This window comes from Homo sapiens, chromosome 20 (genome assembly GCF_000001405.40).
Source record: "Homo sapiens chromosome 20, GRCh38.p14 Primary Assembly".
NCBI lineage: Eukaryota > Metazoa > Chordata > Mammalia > Primates > Hominidae > Homo > Homo sapiens.
This window is the reverse complement of record NC_000020.11, coordinates 53,607,053-53,634,892: the sequence shown is the minus strand read 5'-3', so window position 1 is coordinate 53,634,892 and position 27,840 is coordinate 53,607,053. Positions and strand designations below refer to the sequence as shown.

The window sequence follows — 27,840 nt, the reverse complement described above, 5'->3', positions numbered from 1 at the left end:
AACTCCCATCTCTACCAAAAACACAAAAATTAGCCAGGCATGGTGGCACATGCCTGCAATCCCAGCTACTCGGGTGGCTGAGGTAGGAGAATCACTTCAACCTGGGAGGCAGAGGTTGCAGTGAGCCGAGATTGCACCACTGCACTCCACCTGGAAAACAGAGTGAGACTCCATCTCAAATAAATAAATAAATAAATAAATAAATAAATAAATAAATACTGCAGAGCATAGATGGTAAATACCTCATAAACTTGCCCTGAGGGTTCTATGAGTTCATGTAAATTAATCTCTCAACACAGTATTTGCCATACGATTGCAGTAAACACCAACTATTTTTTATTTTTCAGGAGAAAGGCATGCTCACTGTGAAAAAAAGAAATAAAATTTAGATCAGCAAAAATAAGGTCACTCTACTTCCCCAAAATAACTACCGATAACGTGCTGGTGTACATCCTTCTAGATTCCACTCACTCTGTGTGCTTTCTAACACAATACCGAGAATCAGGTTGCCTGTCATCTTCAACTGCTCCCAAGAATCAACCCTGCATCTAATCAGGCCTCCAGGTCTAACTCCTGGTTTACAGGAAGTACAGAGAATGGAGAAACAGGTTCAATAACACCAGGGAGTTGGAAATCACCAGAGTTTAAAACGTGGGGAACTTTTACAGACATGTGTCCAGGTTTCTTTAACACGTAAAAAGGAAAAATAGCATTTTGGGAGGCTGAGGCGGGAGGGTCATTTGAGCCCAGGAGTTTGAGACCAGCTCTGGCAATATAGCACGACCCAGTATCTAACAAAAAATAAATAAAAACATGACCTGGTGCGGCGGCTCATGCCTGTAAGCCCAGCACTTTGGAAGGCCGAGGCGGGTGGATCACTTGAGGTCGGGAGTTTGAGACCAGCCTGGCCAACATGGTGAAACCCCGTCTCTACTAAAAATACAAAAATTAGTAGGGAGTGGTGGCGGGCATCTGTAATCCCAGCTACTAGGGAGGCTGAGGTAGGAGAATCGCTTGAACCTGGGATAAGGAGGTTGCAGTGAGCTGAGATTCCACCCCTGCACCGCAGCCTAGGCATCAGAGCAAGACTCCATCTCAAAAAAAAAAAAAAAAATCTGTCTATCTATCTATCTATCTAACTATCTATCTATCTATCTATCTAGGAAAACCAGAGTCAGATGAATCCTACAGAGCAATGCTGTCCAACCGAACTTCCTGTGATGATAGAAATCTACATTTGTGCTGTCCAAGATGGTAGAGTCAGGCCACATGTTGTGTTTTTTTTTTTTTTTTTTTGAGACAGAGTCTTGCTATGTCGCCCAGGCTGGAGTGCAGTGGCGCGATCTCGGCTCACTGCAAGCTCCGCCTCCCGGGTTCACGCCATTCTCCTGCCTCAGCCTCCCGAGTAGCTGGGACTACAGGTGCTCACCACCACGCCCGGCTAATTTTTTGTATTTTTAGTAGAGACGGGGTTTCACCACGTTAGCCAGGATGGTCTCGATCTCCTGACCTCGTGATCCGCCCGCCTCGGCCTCCCAAAGTGCTGGGATTACAGGCGTGAGCCACCGTGCCTGGCTCGCTGTTTCTTCTCTCTCTCTCTCTCTCTCGTCACCCAGGCTGGAATGCAGTGGCACAATCCTAGCCCACTGCTGCCTTGAACACCTAGGTTCAAGGGATTCCCTCTGCCTCAGCCTCCCAAGTAGCTGGGAATACAGGTGGGCACCACCATGCTCAGCTAATTTTTTTTTTTTTTTGAGACAAAGTCTCGCTCTTGTCGCCCAGGCTGGAGTGCAATGATGCAACCTCGGCTCGCTGCAACGTCTCCCTTCCGGGTTCAAGCAACTCTCCTGCCTCAGCCTCCTGAGTAGCTGGGATTACAGGCATGCCCACCACACCTGGCTAATTTTTGTATTTTTAGAAGAGACAGGGTTTCACCATGTTGGCCAGGCTGGTCTCAAACTCCTGACCTCAGGTGATCTGCCACCTTGGCCTCCCAAAGTGCTGAGATTACAGGTTTGAGCCACTGCTCCCGGCCTGCCCAGCTAATTTTTATTTTTATTTTTGTTTATTTATTTTGAGATGGAGTTTTGCTCTTGGTGCCCACGCTGGAGTGCAATGGCATGATCTTGGCTCACCGCAACCTTCATTTCCTGGGTTCAGGCAATTCTCCTGCCTCAGCCTCCGGAGTAGCTGGGATTACAGGCATGCGCCACCACGCCCAGCTAATTTTTCTACTTTTAGTAGAGATGGGGTTTCTCCATGTTGGTCAGGCTGGTCTGGAACTCCTGACCTCAGGTGATCCTCCCACCTCGGCCTCCCAAAGTGCTGGGATTACAGGCTTGAGCCACTGTGCCTGGCCGCTCAGCTAATTTTTAAAAATGTTGTTCAAATTTGTTTTCTTTGTAGAGACGGAGTCTTGCTGTGTTGTCCAGGCTAGCCTTTAGCTCCTGGCCTCAAGCGATTCACCCAGCTTGCCCTACCAAAGCATTGGAATTATAGGCATGAGCCATTGCACCCGGCCCTATCCTTCTTTCTTAACAGCTTATCATCATCTGTCTTTTCTATATTTAACTTACTATCTTGTTTATCATTTTTTAAAATCTCCCCTCCTAAACCCCTAAGCTGTCACCTCCATGAAGACCAAGGTTTCTGTTTGCAGTAATGTGTCCTGACGTATCTGGCATACAGTAGGAGCTCAACAAAGATCAGTGGCGTGAATGGCACCTCTGAAGAGAAGAGCCCGGAGGGGAAGTTAGAGTGGAGCTGCAGAGAGTGCTTAGGAGGCTACTGCTGTTGTGATGATCAACTTGATTCTTCAGCCTGGAGCCTTGAGCCTCGTCGCCAAGGGGCAAGGCGGGGAGAGGAAGGTGCTTTTCTTAGGTACACACCCTGCACCAGCATCAGGCTTCAGGCTTCATATATGATAGATGCAGAATAACAACCAAGCACAATGTATAGACCTTGTCTAAGATCTTAACGAATTATTACTTTTTGAGACAACGTCTTGCTCTGTGGCCAAGGTGGGGTGCGATGGCACAATGTTACAAGGATTTTACAAATCTTTACGATTTGTAAAAAATAACAGGGTCTCATTATGTTTTCAAGGCTTGTCTGGAACCCACTGGGCTCAAGTGAGCCTCCAGGCTCAGCCTCCCAAGGTGTTGGGATAACAGGGGTGAGCCACTGTGCCCGTGCCCAGCCTTTATTATTTTAAAAAGTAGTCCTGGCTGAGCGCGGTGGCTCACGCCTATAATCCCAGCACTTTGGGAGACCGAGGCAGGTGGATCACCGGAGGTCAGGAGTTCACGACCAGCCTGGCCAACATGGTGAAACCTCATCTCTACTAAAAAATACAAAAATTAACCAGGCGTGGTGGCGGGCACCTGTAATCCCAGCTATTCAGGAGGCTGAAGCAGGAGAATTGCTTGAACCTGGGAGGCAGAGGTTGCAGTTGGCGCCACTGCACTCCAGTCTGGTGACAGAGCAAGACTCTGTCTCAATAAATAAATAAATAAATAAATAAATAAATAAATAAATAAAGACAGGTTCTTGCTCTGTTGTCCAGGCTGGAATGCAGTGGCACGATCATAGCCCACTACAGCCTCAAACTCCTGGGCTCAAGCCAGGCTCTCACTTTGGTCTCCCAATTTGCTGGGATTATAGGCATGAGCCACTGTATTTGGCCTAGTGGATATTAAGAATAAATAAGTTGGGGCCAGGCGCGGTGGCTCACGTCTGTAATCCCAGCACTTTGGGAGGCCAAGGTGGGCGGATCACGAGGTCAGGAAATCAAGACCACCTTGGCTAACACGGTGAAACCCCGTCTCTACTAAAAATACAAAAAATTAGCTGGGCATGGTGGCAGGTGCCTGTAGTCCCAGCTACTCGGGAGGCTGAGGCAGGAGAATGGCGTGAACCCGGGAGGCGGAGCTTGCAGTGAGCCGAGATCGCACCACTGCACTCCAGCCTGGGCGACAGAGCAAGACTCCGTCTCAAAAAAAAGGAATACAGAATAAATAAGTTGGGTCCAGGCGAGGTGGTTCATGCCTGTAATCCCAGCACTTTGGGAGGCCCAGGCGGGCAGATCACGAGGTCAGGAGTTCAAGACCAGCCTGGCCAACATAGTGAAACCCCGTCTCCACTAAAAATACAAAAATTAGTTGGGCATGGTGGCATGTGCCTGTAGTCCCAACTACTCGGGAGGTTGAGGCAGGAAAATTGCTTGAACCCGGGAGTCAGAGGTTGTCGTTAGCTGAGATCTCGCCACTGCATTCCAGCCTGAGAAACAGAGCGAGACTCCGTCTCAAAAAAAAAAAAAAAAAAAAAAAAAAAAGAGGCCGGTGCCGCGGCTCACGCCTGTAATCCTAGCACTTTGGGAGGCTGAGGCAGGCAGATCACGAAGTCAGGAGTTTGAAACCAGCCTGACCAACATGGTGAAACCCCGTCTCTACTAAAAATACAAAAATTAGCCAGGCGTGGTGGCACGCACCTGTAATCCCAGCTACTCAGGAGGCTGAGGCAGGAGAATTGCTTGAACCCTGGAGGCGGAGGTTGCAGTGAGCTGAGATCGCGCCATTGCACTCCAGCCTAGGCAACAGAGCGAGACTCCATCTCAAAAAAAAAAAAAAAAAAAAAACAGGACTCTAGAGATGACATGACAAAGTATACTGGAGAATATGTTTAGGTTATATGTAAATGCTACACCATTTTATACAAGGAACTTGAGCGTCTGTGAATTTTGGTATCTATGGGAGGGCCTAGAACTTAATCCCCCATAAATACTGACGGAGGCCTGTATTTACAGTTTTAATTCTCCTTTTACCTCGCAGTTACCAAAATACATTACCTTTGTTCTATAATGGTAAAGAGTAAGTATTGTGAAACTAAAATCTTCATGAATATGTTTACAGTCAGACATAAAGCTTTTGGGAACATTTCAAATTATAATAGTCATGATGACAACTGGATTATCCTGCCTCACTATCAAATCTCAGTATCTAAGAAAACTTCTGAAAGACAAAGAAGTTGGTTCATTTCTTTTTTTTATAAATTGGTTCATTCTATATGAAGAAACATGAATGCTTTCTTCCTTCTTTTTTCAGAGATATCTCCAAATCCTAACAAACAACCAAAACCTAGATGGTTATTAGCACTAAAAAGATAATAACTGGCCAGGTGTGGTGGTTCATGCCTGTAATCCTAGCAGTTTGGGAGGCTGAGGCAGGAGGATCGCTTGAGCCTAGGAGGTCAAGGCTGCAGTGTGCCATGTTCATGCCACTGTAGTCCACCTTGGGCAACACAGTGAGATCTTTTCTCAAAAAAAAGAAAGAAAGAAAAAGATAATAACTAGCCTGGCGAGGTGGCTCACGCCTGTAATCCCAGAACTTTGCGAGGCTGAGGTGGGTGGATCACCTGAGGCTGGGAGTTCGAGAACAGCCTGACCAACATGGAGAAACTCCGTCTCTACTAAAAATACAAAATTAGCCGGGCGTGGTGGTGCATGCCTGTAATCCCAGTTACTTGGGAGCCTGAGGCAGGAGAATCACTTGAACCCAGGAGGCGGAGGTTGCGGTGAGCCGAGATCGCACCATTGCACTCCAGCCTGGGCAATAAGAGCGAAACTCTGTCTCAAAAAAAAAAAAAAAAAAAAAAAAAAGATAAAGTAGATACTCATGTACAATTTGCAAACCAATAAAAGGAAATCTTTATTTCCTTTTGTAAGCAAACTAGAGATCAGGCAAAGGAGAGAAAAAAACAGAACATATTTTCCCATTGTCTATAAGCCCAGCATTGACTGGCTTCTGTTTCTTTTCACACTATTCTTCCCCTGGCTGCAGTTTCTCTAACCAGTGTTACTTTCTTCTTTTAGTTCTTCAAATGTTCCTGTTTCTTCCTACCCCAGGGGCTTTGCACATCCTGTTCCCTCTACTTAGAAAACTCTTCCTGGCCGGGTGAGGTGGCTCACGCCTGTAATCCCAGTACTTTGGGAGGCCGAGGCGGGTGGATCACCTGAGGTCAGGAGTTGGAGACCAGCCTGACCAACATGGAGAAATCCCGTCTCTACTAAAAATACAAAAAAATTAGCCAGGCATGGTGGTGCACCTGTAATCCCAGCTGCTCGGGAGGCTGAGGCAGGAGAATCGCTTGAACCTGGGAGTCGGAGGTTGCAGTGAGCCGAGATTGCGCCACTACACTCCAGCCTGGATGACAGAGTAGGACTCTGTCTCAAAAGAAAAAAAAAAAAGAAAACTCTTCCTTGTTCTACCTTCTCAGTGTTCATTCCTCCCTGTCGTGCCTTTATTTTTTATTTATTTATTATTAATATTATCTTTTTTTGAGATGGAGTCTCGCTCTGTTGCCCAGGCTGGAGTGCTGTGGTACGATCTTGGCTCACTGCAGCCTCCGCCTCCCTGGTTCAAGCGATTCTCCTGCCTCAGCCTCCCACGTAGCTGGGATTTCAGGCACATGCCACCATGCCTGCCTAATTTTTAGTGGAGATGGGGTTTCGCCATGTTGTCCATGCTAGTCTCGAACTCCTGATCTCAAGTAATCCACCTGCCTTGGACTCTGAAAGTATTGGGATTATAGGCGTGAACCATTATGCCTGGCCTCTGCCCTGCCTTTAGCGTAGTTGATTTCTATTCTCCCTTCAGGTCTCCACTCAATGGGTCCCTCCTACCTAGAAGCCTCATCCAAACTCCCTCCACCTCCAAGCTCCTTACAGGTTTCCATAGCATACACAGCCCAATCATGACTCTTAAGGGCCTGAGATATATTTGCCTTTGTGGACCCCTTCCTCCATAAAAGGATATGAAAAATTATATTTTATGACTACATTGGCCTGAAGAGGAAATATAATTCAGGCTGGATTCATTACTATATATTATATATGAATGCTTTATATTACTATATATATGAATATTATTCATGTTCTCTTCTGTCCTTAAAATAAATTAAAATAAAAATATTTTTGTGGGCCCCTAAAATTATCATGGGCCTCGGGTATTCTATTTCCTGTGCCAAGGAGAAGCTGACTTGCAAACACTACGCAAGTTTTCTTTTCTTTTCTTTTCTTTTTTGAGACAGAGTCTCTCTCTCTAGCTCTGTTGCCCAGGCTGGAGGGCAGTGGTGCGATCTCAGCTCACTGCAAGCTCTGCCTCCCGGGTTCACGCCATTCTCCTGCCTCAGCCTCCTGAGTTAGCTGAGACCACAGGTGCCGCCACTACGCCCGGCTAATTTTTTTGTATTTTTAGTAGAGACGGGGTTTCACCGTGTTAGCCAGGATGGTCTCAATCTCTTGACCTCATGATCCACCCACCTCGGCCTCCCAAAGTGCTGGGATTACAGGCATGAGCCACAGCGCCCGGCCCAGGGTAAGATTTTCATGTATTGCACACTGATAGGATTTTTCTCAGATTACAGATCAGTCATGTCATAAACCTCTTTCTATATCTATTTGTTTTTTATTTATTTTTATTTATGTATTTATTTTTGAGACAGAGTTTCGCTCTTGTTGCCCAGACTGCAGTGCAATAGCGCGATCTCGACTCACTGCAACCTCCGCCTCCCAGGTTCAAGCAATTCTCCTGCTCAGCCTCCCAAGTAGCTAGGACTACAGGCATGTGCCACCACGCCTGGGGAATTTTTTGTATTTTTAGTAGAGACGGGATTTCACCATGTTGGTCTTGAATTCCTGACCTCAGGTGATCCACCCACCTCGGCCTCCCAGACTGCTAGGATTACAGGCGTGAGCCACTGCGCCCAGCCTTATTTATTTTTAATAGAGATAAAAAAAAAAAAAGACCAAAAAAAGAACTGTAACTCCCCTCAAGGCTGGGCACAATGGCTCATGCCTGTAATCCCAGCTCTCAGGGAGGCAGAGGCAGGAGGATAGCTTTAGCCCAGGAGATCGAGACTTGCCTGGGCAATATACTGAGGCCCCGTTCTCCACAAAAATTAAAAAAAAAAATGACAAAAAAAAATAATAATAAGTGTAATAGAGATGGGGTCTTGCTATTTTGCCCAGGCTGGTCTTCAACTCCTGGCCTCAAATGATCCTCCCACCTTGGCCTCCCAGAATGCTGGGATTACAGATATAAACCACCCCACTCAGCCTCTATCTATTTGATTCTGAGATCTGTAATGCTAAAGATAGAAGACAGCCATGGACTTTGCATAGATGATTTTTTTGGCTGCATTGGCTTACTATGTCTTCCTTTAGTGAAGGATTCCCTGAATGAAACATCTTCTGTTTGTGGTGAGGGAACACCACTTCTTGGTGCAGGGGGATTGGCAAAATCTTTTGCATCATGGGGTTTGGCTTTTTCTTATTTATTTATTTATTTATTTAGACACAGGGGCTCACTCTTTTGCCCAGTCTGGAGTGCAGTGGTGCGATCATAGCTCACTGCAGCCTTGACGTCTTTGGCTGAAGCAAGCCTCCTGCCCTTAGCCTCCTGTGTAGCTGGGACCACAAGTGTGCACCACCACATTCAGCTAATTTTTAATTTTTTTTTTTTTAATAGAGATGGGGTGCCATTTTGTTGCCCAGGCTGGTCTCAAACTCCTGGGCTCAAGTGATCCTCACACCTTGGCCTCCCAAAGTGCTGGGATTACAGGTGTGAGTCACTTCACCTGGCCTGGTTTGATCAGTATAAGTCTATTATGCTCAATAAGAATTTCAAAGTTCACTGAACTTTTTCATACAATAAAATCATTTACACTTTTCTCTTGGGATTTACATGGAGTTCACTTTAAAATGACAGACTTCGGTTCTTTTCATCATACACAGAATGGAAAGCTTAATTAAATTTATACTGGTCATAGCTTTTGCCTGTGTCCTTCAGTGTTTAGAAACTGTATAATAAAGACAAGTTTTAATGAACAATATAAGTTCTGTGTACTTCAATTTCAGTTGTGTCTCAAAGATCATTTTTCTTTCTCATTAAAATTGCACTGCAATATTCTATATAGTGTGTGCCACATTAAAAAATATGTGTGTGTGTATGTATAAAAACTGAGACTTTAGGCCAGGCGCGGTGGCTCATGCCTGTAATCCTAGCATTTTGGGAGGCCAAGGTGGGTGGATTACGAGGTCAGGAGTTCAAGACCAGCCTGGCCAAGATGGTGCAACCCTGTCTCTACTAAAAATAAAAAAATTAGCCGGGCACGGTGGCAGGTGCCTGTAATCCCAGCTATTCGGGAGGCTGAGGCAGGAGAATCACTTGAACCCAGGGGGTGGAGGTTGAAGTGAGCCAAGATTGCCCCACTGCACTCCAGCCTGGGCGATAAAGTGAGACTCCGTCTCAAAAAAAAAAAAAAGCCTTTAATTTTTATTTTTTTTTTACTTTCTCTTTTGAAGGAGGAAGAGATAAATCATAAGGACAGAACTGATATTAAAGATTTGGTCTGAAAAAGGAAGCCTCCAGGGAATGTTATGAAGAGTCCATGTGGGTAAAACTTATTTGTGCTTTCTATTTCATCATGAATGATTATTCAGATTCAGAATGAGAGCATTAAAGAACTGTGAATTCTCCATGAAAAATGATAGTTTTTTCTACTTGTGGTTTAGTTTATTGATATTCAATCTTGTTTCATAAAAAAGGATGTTTACCATATTAAACATGTTTAAAGATGGAAAACTATTCCTTACATATTAAAAGAGTACAAGAAATATTTATGTATACATATAAATATATAGTAAGACATATTTAAAATATGTAAAGATGAAACAAAACCTTTATTTGTAGATAGCTGAGTAACTAGAAAATATAATTGGCCGGGCGCGGTGGCTCACGCCTGAAATCCCAGCACTTTGAGAGGCGGAGGCAGGTGGATCACCTGAGGTCAGGAGTTTGAGACCAGCCTGACCAATATGATGAAACCCTGTGTCTACTAAAAATGCAAAAATTAGCCGGGCATGGTGGCGGGCACCTGTAATCCCAGCTACTTTTCTTTTTTTTTTTTTAATTTGAGATGGAGTCTCACACTGTCGCCAGGCTGGAGTGCAGTGGCGCGAGCTCAGCTCACTGCAACCTCCGCCCTCCGAGTTCAAGCGATTCTCCTGCCTCAGCCTCCCGAGTACTGGGATTACAGGTGCCTGCCACTGCACTCGGCTAATTTTTTGTATTTTTAGTAGAGACGGGGTTTCACCTTCTTGGCCAGCCTGGTTTTGAACTCCTGACCTCGTGATCCACCTGCCTCGGCCTCCCAAAGTGCTGGGATTACAGGTGTGAGCCACTGCACCCGGCCAATCCCAGCTACTTATGAGGCTGAGACAGGAGAATCGCTTGAATCCAGGAGGCGGAGATTGCAGTGAGCTGAGATCGTGCCATTGCACTCCAGCCTGGGCAACAAGAGCGAAACTCCATCTCAAAAAAAAAAAAAAAAAGAAGAAAATATAATTAAGCCAAATACATATTCTCCCAAGCATTATGATTAAACCTAATTTGCTGTTTGTTTTGTTGTGCTTGGTTTTTTTGTTAGTTTATAGTTTGCTTATTCACTGCTGTTTTTAAAGATAGTAACTATGAGTCCTTCAGCTGGTGAATAAAATCCTCCAAGTTTTAACATTTTACAATTGAATTATATAAACATTGAAAATTGGGTTGAAATAAATCTAGTTGTTCAAGAGCGTATGTTGTATTTTCTAGCTGACCTGACCTGGCTAGGGAACCACTGCATGTTTGTGTTGTAACAACAGAGTTGGCTCATAGATTTTTAAGGAAGTATAAATGGGCAAAAATAAAAGTGCTGGCCTTGATCAATGTCACACACCTCTTTTTCAATGGATTCCAACTTTCTGTTCAGTCTCAATCTGTAATGAGACTCTGACTTTCACCTATACTCGTGAGATTAGAAAAAAATTCTGCCTCTGGGACAGAGGTCAGAGAGCTAATCCCAGCCTCTGTGTGATCTTGGCAGGTTAGTTTACATTTCTGTTCCTCAGTCTCTTCCTCTGTAAAATCGGGATCCTAATAGCACGTATACCATAAGGCTCTAGGAAGGATTAACTGAGTTAATACATGTAAAACTCTTGGGAGAGTGCTTGGGACATGGTGAGGGCTTAAGAAAAATATCTGCCATTATTAGGACGTGAGTTGCTGACAACTTTTCCCCCTCCCCAAAATGGCTACTGCTCTGTAAATAAGAGATAAGAAAACTCCGCTGGAGAGGGAGGGATTTGTAACCCTCTCCCTGTCGGGGGAGAAAATCACTTACTAAAGAACAAAGTTTTCTTTTATATGTCTTGAAAATGAAAACGTTCACAAAAGACAAGTATTCTGCCTAGTGAAAATGCCAGTTAGGGAGAGAAAACGCTGACTCCTCCCAGCTCGCAGCACGAGGAGGAGGAGGAGGGCAGAGCCAAGGGGACTTTAAGCTGAGTAATAGGCAGTATCCCTCGTGAACGCCACCCTCCGTCCTTCTCCTCAGGATTGGAAACCTCCGTAACAGACAGTTCAAGGTCTCCTAGGTATTTTACAAAAATCGTTTGAGAAAGACTTCCCGGGATCATCAATTTTTAACCAGTGCTTACCAGGCATATTCTAAATTAGTGAGACCTAAACCCTGCCTAAGGATTTGTCATGAAGCTCCTGTGATATTTTTTCCTACTGGTGTTAGTAATAACCACCCATTGTGTGAATTACACCATGTGAATTACACAAAAATAATGAGATTTTTTAAAAATAATTTTTTCCCTAAATGTTAGAAAACCCCACCCTATATCATTGTTTAAAAAAAAAGCTGAAAAATACACACATATACAAAGGGAATTAAAAATCACTGGTGATCATTAGTAACATCTTAGTGGATGAGAAAGGTTTTTCTTTTCTTTTTTTTTTAAGTTCCTCAATTGTGTTGCAGAATTTGGGATTTTTTTGCTGCGGGGGAGGAGTATTGGGATAAAATACTACCAGAATAAATTCAAGGAGAAAAAGAGGAAGCCATTTTACACTAATACCAGACTCTAGACCACTTCCTTCTCAAACAGGCACATCCCCTGTTGTGAAAACAGACCAGGAGCTTCAAGGTAGGGAGTGGAAATAGACTTGAATATTCCTTGTGAATTCTAGGAGCTAAAAGCTCAGGTTTAATGCAAAACCAAAGGACATAAGCTCACAGAGTCCTGGTATACAGAAGGGAACATTCAGATCCGGTTTGTAAGGGGCAAGCTCAGCACTCTTGCCAGGGGCCCTGGATTTAAGCATGGACTTTGCAATGTACTAATTTTGTGACCTTCGGAAGGTCATGGTCTCTCTGAGCCACCGTTGTCTAATCTGTGAAATGGGACATTCAACTTCCCCTCTGTACCTTGCAGTGTCATTTTAAGATAATGTATCTGTAAAATCCTTTTAACAGAACAATGCAAACATAAGGTGTTACGTTAAGGAGGCACAATTCCAAGCTTTTCTGTATTGTTTGGATCAAAACATTGTTTCCTTGTCTACATTATTTATCTACATGGACTTACAGTTGTTTGTGAAGATGAAATAAGCAGCTTCCACTGATGGCCTAACCAGAAACTTCAGTGGTTTGACTCTTAGTGAATTTGCCTCAACGTACGTTTTTTAAAAAGTACCTAGAAATAGTCTCACCAGGAAAGAAACAGAATGAAGCTGTCCCTAGGTTAAAACCACCTCACTCACAGTTTATTCCTGAAACAAACATTTGTTGACTGTGTTTTTGACATGGTTTACTGGCCTAAGCTCACAAACTTTCCATAAATGCATCAAGAAGTCAGTATTTCCTAGCCAAACACATTCTCATCTGTATCCCATCTCTGGCCAAATTCCGTAGGGATCTGGCTGTAAATAAGTAATGCCTCCTAGGAGCACGGTTCTGCCTATCTGCGGGCCCACGCCCTTTTGCTGTTCGACTTGAAACTTGGAGGCAGTCCAGGGATATGGCTAAATAATTACTGAGCCAGAACCAGTTAATCACAGGCCCTCCAGAGGTGGGGACCAGGCCCCTGTGCTCTGCACCCTGCGGGGGCAATGGAGGCACTTCAGAGTTTACCATCCTGGTAGGACCTAAGCCTTCGGGGCATCACGAGTCTGTTAAATTACTCCAGTCTTGAGCTAATTTGGTGCAGGCTCCCTGGATTTAGGCCCCAGTGAGTAGTTGGCTTTTCTGTTTTTGGCACAGGTAAGAAAGGAGGAGGGGAAAAAAATGGTGTAAGCAAGTTTCAAAATCTTAGATCATTTCATGAATGACTCAGTGTTTCCTTCTGGAAAAGTGCAAATAATTGGCTTTCATTAATAACTTAGCTTTGAAAAAAATTCCTAAATAGTGAGCAACCTTTCATGCTATCTGAACACTGCCATCCTCCAATCTTCAATTTTATAGCTTCCAGAGGAATTTCATTCACTTGATAACGTGTGCTTGTTGAAAAATAAACTGTCACCTACTTCCTCCTTGAGGCTTCCTGTTCTTTCTGAGAAAAGCATTGAGATTGTCTTTCTTTTTCTCTCTCTTTTGTTTTCCTATGTAAAAATATTCAGCCAGGCACAGCGGCTCATGCCTATAATCCCAGCACTTTGAGAGGCTGAGGCAGGCAGATCACTTGAAGTCAGGAGTTCGAGACCAGCCTGGCCAACATGGTGAAACCCGTCTCTACCAAAAATACAAAAAATTAGCTGGGTGTGGTGGCGCATGCCTGTAATCCCAGCTACTCAGGAGACTGAGGCAGGAGAATTGCTTGAACCCAGGAGGCGGAGGTTGCAGTGAGCTGGGATCCTGCCACTGAACTCCAGCCAGGGCGACAGAGCAAGACTCCATCTCAAAAAAAAAAAATAAAAATTCAGGCCAGGCGCAGTGGCTCACAGCCTGTATTCCCAGCACTTTGGGAGGCCGAGACTGGCAGATCACTTGAGGTCAGGAGTTCAAGACCAGCCTGGCCCTCATGGTGAAACCCTGTCTCTAATAAAAATACAAAAATTAGCCGAGCGTGGTGGTGGGCGCTTGTAGTCCCAGCTACTCCGGGAGGCAAGGGAATCGCCTGAATTCGGGAGGTCGAGATTTCAGTGAGCCGAAATTGTGCCATTGCTCTCCAAAAATAAAATAAAAAATAATAAAATAGGCCGAGTGCGGTGGCTCACGCCTGTAATCCCAGCACTTTGAGAGGCCAAGGCAGGTGGATCACAAGGTCAGCAGTTCGAGACCAGTCTGGCCAACATGGTGAAACCCCATCTCTACTAAAAATACAAGAATTAGCTGGGTGTGGTGGTGCACGCCTGTAATCCCAGCTACTCAGGAGGCTGAAGCAGGAGAATCGCTAGAACCCAGGAGGTGGAGGTTGTGGTGAGCCGAGATTGTGCCACTGCACTCCAGTCTGGGCAACTGAGCAAGACTCCGTCTCAAATAAAAAAAAATTAAATTAAAAAAATAAAAATAGTAAACATATAGAGTTATTATTCTTCTTCGAAAACTAATTATATGGCCGGGCACGGTGGCTCACGCCTGTAATCCCAGGACTTTGGGAGGCCGAGGCGGGCGGATCACGAGGTCAGGAGATCAAGACCATCCTGGCTAACACGGTGAAACCCCGTCTCTACTAAAAATACAAAAAATTAGCCAGGCGAGGTGGTGAGCACCTGTAGTCCCAGCTACTCGGGAGGCTGAGGCAGGAGAATGGCGTGAACCTGGGAGGCGGAGCTTGCAGTGAGCCGACATCGCACCACTGCACTGCAGCCTGGGTGACAGAGCAAGACTCCATCTCAAAAAAAAAAAAAAAAAAAAAGAAAACTAATTATATGTAGCACAAAAGGAAATAGCCTATTTCTTCATAGAATGAGAATGTTATACTATATATTTCTTTAGCTAGAAATACATACATAAATATATTTCAAATATCTTTAATTCATTTGAGCACATTTCAGTTTTAGAATTTTTTTTTTTAAAAAACCTCTATTTGTCTCTCTCTTTCTCTGCACATAAAACAACCCCTAAGTTTTCATACAGAAGACATCCATTCTTTCAGCATTGCTATAAACTCTGAAGATGTCTCAAATGACTCATTAATGGAATAAAGTGGAATAAAGTGTTTCTCATGTTAAAGATATGCAAATGGAACTTAATCAAGTGAAGGGAGACTCCGTAATTCAGTAAATAAAGCTGAGAATGTTACTGTGGTCACCCTGAACTCTATTTGCATGCAAGCTTATCTTATTTTTAAAGCAGAAGGGAAAAAAAAGAGGAGGAAGAAAAAAACATCCCAACGTTCACCACACGTTGTTCTCAAAATAAAAATCTCATAAGGTGAAACAGTTAACAAAGCAAAAACTGCTTAGTATGGATGAATCCAAAATACATTGAAATTATTTTCTAGACAGCAAGCATACGACCTGCCTCAGGTCCTCTTATGGAGAAAATTGCACAATCAAACTTTTTGCCATTCATGTCTGTTGTATTAGGTCAGGACTGATTATTTATTTATTTATTTATTTTTTGAGACGGAGTGTGGCTCTGTCACCCAGGCTGGAGTGCAGTGGTGCGATCTCGGCTCACTGCAAGTTCCGCCTCCCGGGTTCACGCCATTTTCCTGTCTCAGCCTCCCGAGTAGCTGGGACTACAGGCGCCTGCCACTATGCCCAGCTAATCTTATTATTTTTAGTATAGACCGGGTTTCACCGCGTTAGCCAGGATGGTCTCGATCTCCTGACCTCGTGATCCGCCTGCCTTGGCCTCCCAAAGTGCTGGGAGTATAGGCATGAGCCACCATGCCCTGCCTATTTATTTATTTATTTATTTATTTTGAGATGGAGTCTCACTCTGTCACCCACGCTGGAGTGCAGTGGCCAGATCTCGGCTCACTGCAACCTCTGCCTCCTGGATTCAAGCGATTCTTCTGCCTCAACCTCCTGAGTAGCTGGGATTACAGGCGTGTAGCACAACACCCTGCCAATTTCTTGTGTGTCTTTAGTAGAGATGGGGTTTTGCCATGTTGGCCTGGCTGGTCTCGAACTCCTGACCTCAAGTGATCTGCCCCCCCCCCCCACCTCCTCAGTCGCCCAAAGTGCTGGGACTACAGGCGTGAGCCACCGTGACCAGCCAGGCCAGAACTGATTGTTACTACTCTGGCTTCAGGAGTCAGCCCTGCTTGGGTTGTTGGGCTAATCACAGCGTGGGTCCCTGGCTATTTCCTCAAACCAGACATATAGTTGGATTGAAACAGAATAGAGGGCCAGGCGCAGTGGCTCAACGCCTGTAATCCCAGCACTTTGGGAGGCTGAGACAGGTGGATCACTTGAGGTCAGGAGTTTGAGACCAACCTGGCCAACATGGCAAAACCTTGTCTTTACTAAAAATACAAAAATTAGCGGGGCGTGGTGGCGGGCGCCTGTAATCCCAGCTACTCAGGAGGTTGAGGCAGGAGAACCGTTTGAATCTGGGAGGCAGAGGTGGTAGTGAGCCGAGATTGCACCATTGCACTCCAGCCTGGGCAACAAGGGCAAGATTCCATCTCAAAAAAAAAAAAAAAGAAAGAAAAAAGAAAAAGAAATAGAATAGAGATAGACAAAGAAGAGAGGCACCCCATGTTAGATTCTCACACTGGATATCAAATTACCAATCTTGCAACATTTAATACCAGGAATTAAAACCAGAATCACTGTTATTTTCTTTGAGGGAAAGCTCAAATTGCACATCGTTTTTACATTTGTGTGAATACATATGATCTATTTTATGTTCTGGAAGAAAACTTGCTCCAGTGCAATGGCTCATTCATGTAAGGTGGAAATATTTCAAAGAAATAGTAGGAAGAGGAAAGTTCACACCTACTCAGGGAGAGAATGGATTTAAATAAATACTTCCGAACAGATCTAAATTAATCACGTCATTGGTCAAGTATGAGGAAAGGCCACCTGCAGCCCGGTTTAATTCTGGTGAGATATACCTGGGCTATTTTGGAAGATGATGCCGCTGAAGAAAGCCTTGCCTTGCACATGCAATAGCATCTCACGCTTTAGCTGGCAGCAAATCCTACTCAAGCCACCTCCCGTTTAGCTGATTCGGCATCTTCGAGGTCCCACATGCCTAGGGAATGAGTGAAAAAGCCCTAGAATATAAACCACAAATAGTGTAAAGATTTATTTATTTATTTTTATTTTATTTTTTTGGGACGGAGTCTCACTTTGTTGCCCAGACTGGAGTGCAGTAGCGTGATCTCAGCTCACTGTGACCTCCGCCTCCCGGGTTCAAGCAATTCTCCTGCCTCAGCCTCCTAAGTAGCTGGACTACAGGCATCTGCCACCATGCGGGCTAATTTTTTGTATTTTTAGTAAAGACGGGGTTTCCCCGTGTTAGCCAGGTTGGTCTCGATCTCCTGACCTCATGATCTGCCCTCCTCAGCCTCCCAAAGTGCTGGGATTAGAGGCGTGAGCCACCGTGCCGGGCCTAAAGATTTATTTTATAAGTATCTTTAGGTGTTGCCATTTTATTTGGTTAGGCCATCTAGTTCTGGGGGTGTTGTCAAGGCTTTTCTGAAAATCTACTCAAGGGCAAAATAGAGGTGTCCTATGATTAGTTACTGTGCCCTTCACCCCATCCCTGCCCTAACCCCAGAAAAATTGATTCTAAAATAAAAAACAAGAGAAGAGCCGGGCACGGTGGCTCATACCTGTAATCCCAGCACTTTGGGAGGCTGAGGCAGGCGGACCACGAGGTCAGCAGATCGAGACTATCCTGGCTAACACGGTGAAACCCCATCCCTACTAAAAAAGTACAAAAAATTAGCTGGGCATGGTGGTGGGCACCTGTAGTCCCAGCTACGCGGGAGGCTGAGGCAGGAGAATGGCGTTAACCTGGGAGGAGGAGCTTGCAGTGAGCGGAGATCGCGCCGCTGCAATCCAGCCTGGGCGGCAGAACTAGACTCTGTCTCAAAAAAAAAAAAAAATCGACATATGTATCTTTTATGAAGTTAAAACATAATTCTGATATCAAAAGGTACACAGAGAAAAGTCAGTCTCTCTCCCACCCACTGTGGTTCCCCTGACTCTCGAGTCCCCTTCCCTTTGCAGGGTCATCCCTAGGACCAGGGTAAAGATTATTTAATTATTTATTTATGAGACAGAGTTTCGCTCTTGTCACCCAGGCTGGAGTGCATTGGTGTGATCTCAGCTTACTGCAACCTCTGCCTCCCAGGTTCAAGTGATTCTCCTGCCTCAGCCTCCTGAGCAGCTGGAATTACAGGCACCAGCCACCGCATTCGGCTAATTTCTTTTGGTATTTTTAGTAGAGACTGGGTTTCATGATTTGGCCAGGCTGGTCTTGAACTCCTGACCTCAAGTGATCTACCCGCCTTGGCCTACCAAAGTGCTGGGATCACAGGCATGAGCCACCATGCCCAGCCCGTATTTACTTATTTTTATTTGTATAAAAATGCAAAGATGGCCGGGTGTGGTGGCTCAAGCCTGTAATCTCAGCACTTTGCAGGCTGAGGCAGGTGAATCACCTGAGGTCAGGAGTTCGAGACCAGCCTGACCAATATGGCAAAACCCCATCTCTATTAAAAATACAAAATTTAGCTGGACTTGATGGCGTGTGCCAGTATTCCCAGCTACTCGGGAGGCTGAGACAGGACAATTGCTTGAACCTGGGAGGTGGAGGTTGCAGTGAGCCGAGATTTCGCCACTGCACTCCAACCTGGGCGACAGAGCGAGACTCTATCAAAAAAAAAAAAAAAAGCCAAGATTAGCTGGGCGTGGTGGCATGAGCTTTTAGTCTCAGCCATGATCCTGACATTGTACTCCACCCTGGGGGACAGTGCAAAGCAAGACCCTGTCTCAAAAAAAGGAAAAATAAAAAGCTTTACATTATTATTATTATTATCAATCATTAGAGACAGAGTCTTGCTCTGTTGCCCAGGCTGGAGTGCAGCGGCATGATCATGGCTCACTGCAGCCTCTAACTCTCGGTCTCAGGTGATCCTCCCAACTCAGTCTCCCAGGTAGCTGGGACTATAGGCACATGCCACCACGCCCAGATAATGTTTTGGAAAATGGCCATTTTTTTTTAAAGCTGCAGGAAGGCAGCAAAATTGGAACAGTGGTTATTTCTGCATGTTATGTGTTGGGTTTATGGGTGCAATTTTGAAATTTTCTATAATATGTAGGGATTAATTTTTTTTTTTTTTCGTGACAGGGTGTTGCTCTCCTGCCCGAGCTGGAGTGCAGTGGCACAGTCGTGGCTCATTGCAGCCTCCAAATCCTGGCCTCGAGCAATCCTCCTGCCTCAGCCTTCCAAAGTGCTGGGATTACAGATGTGAGCCACCATGCCCAGCCAAGTAAGGCTTTCTAATCATAAAAATAAAAAAGTATTCTTTAAGAATTATACATTGCGGCCGGGCACAGTGGCTCACACCTGTAATCCCAGCACTTTGGGAGGCCGAGGCAGGTAGATCACCTGAGGTCAAGAGTTTGAGACCAGACTGGCCAACAACATAGTGAAACCCTATCTCTACTAAAAATACAAAAATTATCTGGGCGTGGTGGCGGGTGCCTGTAATCCCAGCTACTTCATAGGCTGAGGCAGGAGAATTGCTTGACTCCAGGAGGCAGAGGTTGCAGGGAGTTGAGATCATGCCATTGCACTCCAGCCTGGCCAATACAGTGAGACTCCGTCTCAAAAAAAAAAAAAAAAAAAAAAAAGGCCAGGTATGGTGGCTCACCCCTGTAATCCCAGCAGTTTGGGAGGCCGAGGCAGGTGGATCACGAGGTCAGGAGATTGAGACCATCCTGGCTAACATGGTGAAACCCCCGTCTCTACTAAAAAATACAAAAAAATTAGCTGGACATGGTGGCGGGCGCCTATAGTCCCAGTTACTCAGGAGGCTGAGGCAGGAGAATGGCCTGAACCCAGGAGCGAAACTTGCAGTGAGCTGAGATCGCACCACTGCACTCCAGCCTGGGTGACAGAGCAAAGACTCCTTCTCAAAACAAACAAACAAACAACCAAAAAAGAATTATACATTGCATGACCAGAACAACAAAAACAAAAGAATTGGCCAGGCATGGTGGCTTATGCCTGTAACCCCAGCACTTTGGGAGGCCCAGGCGGGTGGATCACAAGGTCAGGAGTTTAAGATCATCCTGGCCAAGATGGTGAAACCCCATCTCTACTAAAAATACAAAAATTATCTGGATGTGGTGGTGGGCGCCTGTAATCCCAGCTACTCAGGAGGCTGAGGCAAAGAATTGCTTAAACCCAGGAGGCGGAGGTTGCAGTGAGCCGAGATTGTGCCACTGCACTCCAGCCTGGGTGACAGAGTGAGACTCCGTCTCAAAAAAAAAAAAAAAAAAAGAATTATACATTGCATATTAGAGTGTGTCCTCTAATCTTTCCTAAGTGACCTTGTAAAATGTGAGGACTCTTGTATTTGAAATATGGCAGATACACAGATCTAACAGCAGTGTTCTTCTAGTTTACTGTAAAGTTAGCCTGAATCATTCTGATTCATTTACGGTGGCTTCTACTATATGCTATTTACATTTGTTCAACACACATGTATAGTTGAACCATAGATATCATTTGAGCACCTATTCTCACATTTGGAAGATGGTACCTTTTGTTTCATTTGCTTTTTCTTTAATTTCTTTATTTTTTTCCATTTTTTTGTTTTTTTATTTTTCTTTTTTTTTGATGAAGATGGTCCTTTTTAACACTGTGCTGGACGTTCCATATGAGATCAATAAATACTAATTAAATTTGAAGATTGAGGATAGGATTAGCTTTTCAAAGGGTGGATCTTGAGACTTATAATAAGTCTGAGAATGGATTATAGATACTCCACCCTAATAATGCTATAAATACTTCTGGTGGTGGTTTCTAGGCTTGATCAGCTTAATGATTCATTTTACTTGCAATGATCTTTTTCAGTTGTTTGCCTGTGTGTGCTTTAAAAAGGACAAAAATAAGTTTGGAGGAAAAAAAATTTAATTGCTTTCAAATGTTCCAATAAATTCAAACCCATATACTCTTGCTCAAGAATTTCCTTGCTAGGTTATTACATACTTTGCCAAATCTCTCTAGCTTTCTCCTGTTTTCTTAATCTTAGGAACTATGGAAGATTGTAAGTGTTGCTGGCTGGTCAGAAAATGTAAATGTTTTCAAACAACTTAAACATTTACATGTCATGAGAGATTTTTAAAAAATCAGATATCCACTCATAAAAACAGCTACAGGTTTAAGAATCAGCAAAAAACCATCTTAGGCCCCAGAAGAGAAAGAGTATATATATTTTTCACATTCTTATTTAAATAACCATCTGTTATCTGCAAATGTAGTTCCTACTGAGAACATCCCAATAAAAGGCCGGTCTGTGACTAAGGAAATACTCCAACTAACGATCCACTGATAGGCAAAGAAATATCAACAAGGCCAGGAGGCCTCATCGGTCGCTATCTAACAGACCTGGTAACAGCAGCAGTACCAGCTAGATGGCAAAGGAGCAGTGGTTGTGCCCAAACCATTACAAGTTTGCTAGGATTATTTCAGTCCATCTAGCAACTCACTCCAGGTGGGCAGCATTTAGGCTGGATTCTATGCAAACAGAACACAACAGAATACACTGGCAATGAGGGGTGCCCTTGTGTTCCAGATAATAGAAGCTTTGAATTCTTATACCCTAAAATTTTAGTGTTTCTGTAATGGATCTACAGTGTTTTGCTGTATAACTTGAAAACTAAGACAGACATAAAATCTTTAAAAGCTTAGAAAGGGAAAAAGGAAAAAAGTCTAGAAATTTTTTTTTTTTTTTTTTGAGTCTTGCTCTGTCACCCAGGCTGAAGTGCAATGGCGCCATCTCGGCTCACTGCAACCTCCACCTCCTGGGTTCAAGCGAGTCTCCTGCCTCAGCCTGCCGAGTAGCTGGAATTACATACAGGCGCCTGCCACCATGACCGGCTAATTTTTCATTTTTAGTAGAGATGGGGTTTCACCATGTTGGCCAGGCTGGTCTCGAACTCCTTACCTCAGGCGATCCACCCGCCTCGGCCTCCCAAAGTGCTGAGATTACAGGCATGAGCCACCGCGCCCGGCTACATTTCTTTAAAATTTCTCAAGTTAAAAGTAAATAACTGTTAGAATGGTTACATCCAATATTTACAAGCAGAATGTGTTTCCTGAGAATTTGCCCTTTCATTTAAGGTTGCAGTAGTGCTGCCACCATGTTTTCACACGTGATCAAATGTATCCCATTGGAAAACCGTGTAATCTTGTTCGGAAATCTTCCTCAGGCTTTGGCATCCTGTGGGTGTTCTGCCAGAGAACTTTAATCCAAATCATAAACTTAAGTCATAGGTACTAAAAAAGAAACTTCTGGTCTAGGACTTTGAATCTTTTGACTGTTAATAATCAAGAAAGCTGTATTTTCTTTCGTTTAAAAAATAGAGACGACTGGTGGTGGTGGGGGCTGCGGGTGTGTGTGTGGCTCACGCCTGTAATCCCAGCAATTTGGGAGTTTTACGTGGGCAGATCACTTGAGGTCAGGAGTTTGAGAACAGCCTGGCTAACATGGTGAAACCTCATCTCTACTAAAAATACAAAAATTAGCCGAGCATGGTGGTGCATGCCTGTAGTCCCAGCTACTCGGGAGGCTGAGACATGAGAATTGCTTGAACCCGGGACAGGGAGACTGCAGTGAGCCGAGATCATGCCACTGCACTGTAGCCTGGGTGACAGAGTGAGATTCTGTCTTAAAAAAAAAAAAAAAAAGAAAGATTAAAAATAGAGATGGGGGGGTCTCACTATGTTGTTCAGGCTGGTCTCAAACTCCTGGGCTCAAGTGATCCTCCCACCTTGGCCTCCCAAAGTAGAAGCTGTATTTTCAAGTTGGTCAAGTGTTCACCTACTCTGCCTCCAACTGTGATTTCAGTATATACAGGCATCCATAAAGTCTAGAAACAAAGAATCTACGTCATTACAAACATCTTCAATTTGTAAAAATTAGAATACATATAATAGGATAGAGTATAATAGAATAAAGTAGGATAAAACAAAACAAAGTAAAATGAAATAAATTAAACAACACTGTGTCTCCAGACTTTATGAAAATCTTTTTCGTGGACTTGAGGATGTACCGAGCCAGTGGAGTGGCTGGATGAAATGGGAACTCCACCGCAGGAAGTGGTGCTTTTCTCATGCTGCTAATTAAGGAATGTGGAACCCTTCTTTCTGAGTCAGCTTGGCGGTATGTAGAATTCTGTCCTGCTCGGTGCTTACGTGATTATTGCATGAAACTTTAGAAATAAACCAGAGTATCTTGCCACTTAACACTTAAGAGGCCAGAGGTGGTGTGTGTGTGTGTGTGTGTGTTTTTAAATGGTTCCTAATCTTTAAAATGGTTAGTTGCAGCTGGCCTTTTATCAGCTGATCATATTTACAGCAGTCTCAGATGGCACGGTGCCGTCCCAAAAGATTTGGACCATTTAGAAGCTCACATTTTAAGGTACACAGGCTTATCATAGCATTCTGAGGATTCACTAGAATTACATGGCAAGAAAAACTTTTCTGTGGAACTGTTTACTATTCTTATTTTAAATTACTTTTTGGTAAAATAAATGTTAATTTATTTCAAAGGTAATATAAGTAGATTATGAAAAATAATTAGAGAAAAATAGAAAGTAGAAAAAGGGTCATACATATGCCATTATTGAAAAACAAACATTAAAAAAATTTTTAAATATAACCCATCATAGGATTAAGGGTAAAAAAAGAAAAAAAGAAACAATTTTAATAAAAATTTTGAAATGTATGCGAAAGTAGAGAGAATAATAAAAATAGTGTAATGAGTAACCCCCATATCTGATGCCCAGTTCTAGTTTCTTTTTCTTTTTCTTTTTTTTTTTTTTGAGATGGAGTCTCGCTCTGTCGCCCAGGCTGGAGTGCAGTGGCACGATCTCAGCTCACTGCAATCTCTGCCTCCCGGGTTCACACCATTCTCCTGCCTCAGCCTCCTAAATAGCTGGGACTACAGGCACCCACCACCACGCCCGGCTAATTTTTTGTATTTTTAGTAGAGACGGGGTTTCACCGTGTTAGCCAGGATGGTCTTGATCTCCTGGCCTCATGATCTACCTGCCTCGGCCTCCCAAAGTGCTGGGATTACAGGCGTGAACCACGGTGCCTGGGCAAGTTCTAGTTTCAAGATGTTAACCACCTTTGGTTCAATTCTCTTGTTTTTTTATTTACTAAAGTATTATAAATTCTCCTATGTCATGTCATTCTTCTATATCCTTCAGTATACATCTTTAAATATATATATAATGCATATTCTGTAATAATCCGTGCCATTATTACAGCTAATGAAATAAAATTTTTTTGTTTTCATATAATATTCAGTCTGTACTAAAATTTTTCTGATAAAATCAATTTAAATATTTTTATGTATATTACATCCTTTTTTCGTTACTAATAGAAAAAATTAGAGTTCATTAAAAATACAACTTTGCATCTCGGTTTTTTCATTTGCTATTATAAATATTTCCCAATGGCCTATTTTTCAAAGCTTTCTAATTCTAAAATGGCTGTATGTAATCGTGTGGGGATACATAACTTGGATGACTAACCACTCCTTTATTTGTGTCCCTCCACACATGCATGGAGAGTGAACGTGTATTGCTCTCCCCCTCGTAGTAAATCTTGTTACCACGAAGATCTTTGTTCCTAACACCTTTTCCTACATTAGGGCTGTTTCCTTAGGATTGATTCCAGGAGTGTTATTGCTGCATCCAAATGTATGAACATTTGTAAGGCCCTTGACTTGTCTCATTGAGTTGTTTACAAAAGGACTGTACCAATTTACACTTCCACTTACAAAGGATGAGAGAGCCTCTATTAAAATGTTTAAAGGCCGGGCTTTTCAGAGCTCTTATAAATCATTGGCTATAAGAGGCTGACTTAGGTTTGTCATATGGTCATAGTCATCTCAAAATAAATAAATACGCATTTTCTATAGCTATAAAAACATGGCATGCGCAGACTGCCAAACAACCACAAAGTAACTTTGATTAAAGGAGGAAACTGGTCTACTTGTTGAAAATGTGGTAATGAGATAGTTTCCACCCAGCCGGGAAGCGTGGCCCGGAGGGGGAGGGGAGCCTGCATTTCTTCATGCCTCTACCCATCCTGAAGAAGGTAGAAAGGAACAGGTCAGCGTTCTCTTCCTTTACTTTGTAATTTTTTTTTAAGCTGAATATTTAATTTGTTTCCATATGCCTGAGTTGATGATGCCAAAATACGGTTGAAAACTAGCAGAAAACTTCTCGTGGCAAGGGTTTCCTGTAAACAAACCCCATAGTACTGGGTAAGAGAGGATTAGGGCAGAGCCATTTTAGCTGCGACTCCCAATTCTATTTTGTTTCCTTGGGGACATGCTGTTTTTATTTGTGGGCTTCAAATAAAACTGCTGCAGAAACTGTTTATTTCTGTTCAGAGCATTCTTATTTTCTTTAAGGAATATATCAGTTACAAATCTTTGTAGAAAGTTCAGCTGTATTGGTTTGGAGAAGTTTATGTGTCAGTTTTTTTTTTGAGTCAAGAAGAAAGGAAAAACTCAACTACTGTTATGTTTATATGAGGACAAAAAAAAAAAAAGGAAGTTGATAAGAAAATACTTAGCATGACAGTCTTTAAAATCCAGCATCTGAATTTTTAATTCCTCACTCCCCTCCTTTTTTAAGAAACAGTACAGGAAAGATGGTCTTATTATCCTTGTTCGCATTTCACTGTTTTCACCCCACTCAACCAGGACGAAGTCATTCCTCAAAGCAAGTAGGAACAAAACATAATCTCTTAAGATATTTTTAAGAGGACATGCTGACTTGGTCTTTGTAAAAAAAAAAAAGTCAACAAAATGTGCTAACCACATTAAAAAAAAAGTTGTTAAAGGAGCCAAAGGGATTAGCCCTCATTGAAGGGCTGTATGAGAACAGGAAGCCTTCCGGGGCGAATCCTGGCTAACGTCATTTTGGCGGACGTTTATTGCGTATCGCCATGTGCCAGGCACCGTTTTAAGGCTTCATGGTGATGAGGGCATTTAACCCTCGGGACACGCCCATTCTGCAGGTGAGGCTGGGAAGAAGGTGAGGCCAAGGCCCGGCTCTCCCAGCGGCTGAGGGCGGCGGCAGGATTTGAATCCAGGCGGTCTCTGGAGACTGGGTTCTGAGAAAACCCGCTGTGTGAGGGCTGGGGGGACCGCTTTAAGCCCTCCGCTGGAAGCGGTGAAGAAGCTTTGGGCCAACGCAGTTCGGAGCGCCAGTGTAGACGCGTGGCTTCAGTTTGTCCTGTACGCGGGTCAGGGGTGTGGCTCTGACCCTAATCTCATCTCCGGCCTTCCCCAGTCTCCGGGCCCTGTGGGAGGGTGTGGTTGGGGAGGACACACCTACCTGGAGCCCGTCGGTTTCACCTCTTCTGCGGTGGGGTCGTCCGCAGTTGCCCTCTCTTTCCTCCTAGGCCTGGCTCGACCTCCACTTTGGAGAAGATGCTCCAGGAACACTGAAGGGCAGGTCGTCCCCGACCTTCTATGAGGATTGCCCAGCTCAAGGTATACTCTTCAAATAATTCCACTTGCTTTGTCTACACGGGGCGATCTAGCTGATGATTGAGCGACTCAGGTTCTGTAGGAGACGGATCCGGGTTCAGATTTGATCTCTTCCTTTCCTGCTCTGAACACCCTCCGGTATAAGCGCCCCTGGCAGGTCCCTGCGCGGGTGAAGGACGCGTCTGTGGGTGTCCGCCCTGGTGTGCAGAGCGGGCAGGTTCTGCGGCCGCGGGCGGTGGTCGTGATCATAATGGCGTGACTTAACTGAGCGCTGTGTGCCACCCCCCGACTTCCCCCACCCCGCGCCCGTTACCACGAGTGAGGTCTTGCTTATTCCTCCCAAATTCACTTGTCAGCGAGTACTATTTTTTAAATTTTATTTTTATATTTTAATTAATTAATTAATTATTTATTGAGACGGACGGAGTCTTGCTCTGTAGCCCAGGCTGCAGTGCAGTGGCGCCATCTCGGCTCACTGCAGCCTCCACTTCCCGGGTTCAAGCGATTCTCCTACCTCAGCCTCCCGAGTAGCTGGGATTACAGGCACACGCCGCAGCACCTGGGTAATTTTTTGTATTTTTAGTAGAGAGGGGGTTTCTCCTGACCTCAGGTGATCCGCCCCGTCTGCCTCAGCCTCCCAAAGTGCTGGGATTACAGGCGTGAGCCACTGCACCCGGCTATTTTTTAATTTAATTTTATTTTTTGACATGAAGTCTCAAATACAAAAAAATAATTTTTGTATTTTTAGTAGAGACAGGGTTTCACCATGTTGGCCAGGCTGGGCTCGAAATCCTGACCTCATGTGATCCGCCCACGTTGGTCTCCCAAAGTGCTGGGATTACAGGCGTGAGCCACCGTGCCTGGCATATATATATATATATATATATTTTTTTTTTTTTTTTTTTGAGACAGAGTCTCGCTCTGTTGCCCAGGCTGGAGTTCAGTGGCGCGATCTCAGCTCACTGCAACCTCCGCCTCCCGGGTTCAGGCGATTCTCCTGCCTCAGCCTCCTGAGTAGCTGGGACTACAGGTGCGTGCCACCGCACCCGGCTAACTTTTTGTATTTTTAGTACAGGCAGGGTTTCACTGTGTTAGCCAGGATGGTCTCAATCTCCTGACCTCGTGATCCGCCCGCCTCAGACTCCCAAAGTGCTGGGATTACAGGCGTGAGCCACCGTGCCCAGCCTATTAATTTTTATTTTTTATTTATTTATTTTTTTTAAATAAATTGAGATAGGGGTCTCGCTATGTTGCCAGGGCTGGTCTTGAACTCCTGGACTCAAGCAATCCTCCTGCCTCAGGCT

General features: G+C 44.1%; 1 long non-coding RNA gene across 1 annotated transcript, besides 4 other annotated features; it reads right to left on the bottom strand.

Annotated features, from left to right (window-relative positions):
* Positions 1–302: 302 nt before the first annotated feature.
* On the bottom strand, positions 303–26,539 carry LOC105372672 (uncharacterized). The gene is made up of 3 exons (NR_134576.1): positions 26,382–26,539; positions 16,895–17,056; positions 303–363 (listed from the first exon to the last, which is right to left on the bottom strand). It is a non-coding gene; the product is annotated as an uncharacterized LOC105372672 (long non-coding RNA).
* Positions 7,804–7,996: a silencer, noted in NCBI's record as "fragment chr20:52243436-52243628 (GRCh37/hg19 assembly coordinates)". NCBI's record gives its function as "represses an EF-1alpha promoter that drives an FKBP-Casp9 reporter gene in an ReSE screen in K562 erythroleukemia cells {active_cell/tissue: K562}" and the evidence as "EXISTENCE:reporter gene assay evidence [ECO:0000049][PMID:32094911]".
* Positions 12,584–13,348: an enhancer, noted in NCBI's record as "H3K27ac hESC enhancer chr20:52238084-52238848 (GRCh37/hg19 assembly coordinates)". NCBI's record gives its function as "activates a minimal SCP1, AML or CMV promoter by ChIP-STARR-seq in naive H9 embryonic stem cells {active_cell/tissue: H9 hESC(naive)}" and the evidence as "EXISTENCE:reporter gene assay evidence [ECO:0000049][PMID:30033119]".
* Positions 24,074–24,123: an enhancer, noted in NCBI's record as "active region_18123". NCBI's record gives its function as "activates an Ori minimal core promoter by ATAC-STARR-seq in GM12878 lymphoblastoid cells {active_cell/tissue: GM12878}" and the evidence as "EXISTENCE:reporter gene assay evidence [ECO:0000049][PMID:35858748]".
* Positions 26,064–26,383: an enhancer, noted in NCBI's record as "active region_18122". NCBI's record gives its function as "activates an Ori minimal core promoter by ATAC-STARR-seq in GM12878 lymphoblastoid cells {active_cell/tissue: GM12878}" and the evidence as "EXISTENCE:reporter gene assay evidence [ECO:0000049][PMID:35858748]".
* Positions 26,540–27,840: the final 1,301 nt, after the last annotated feature.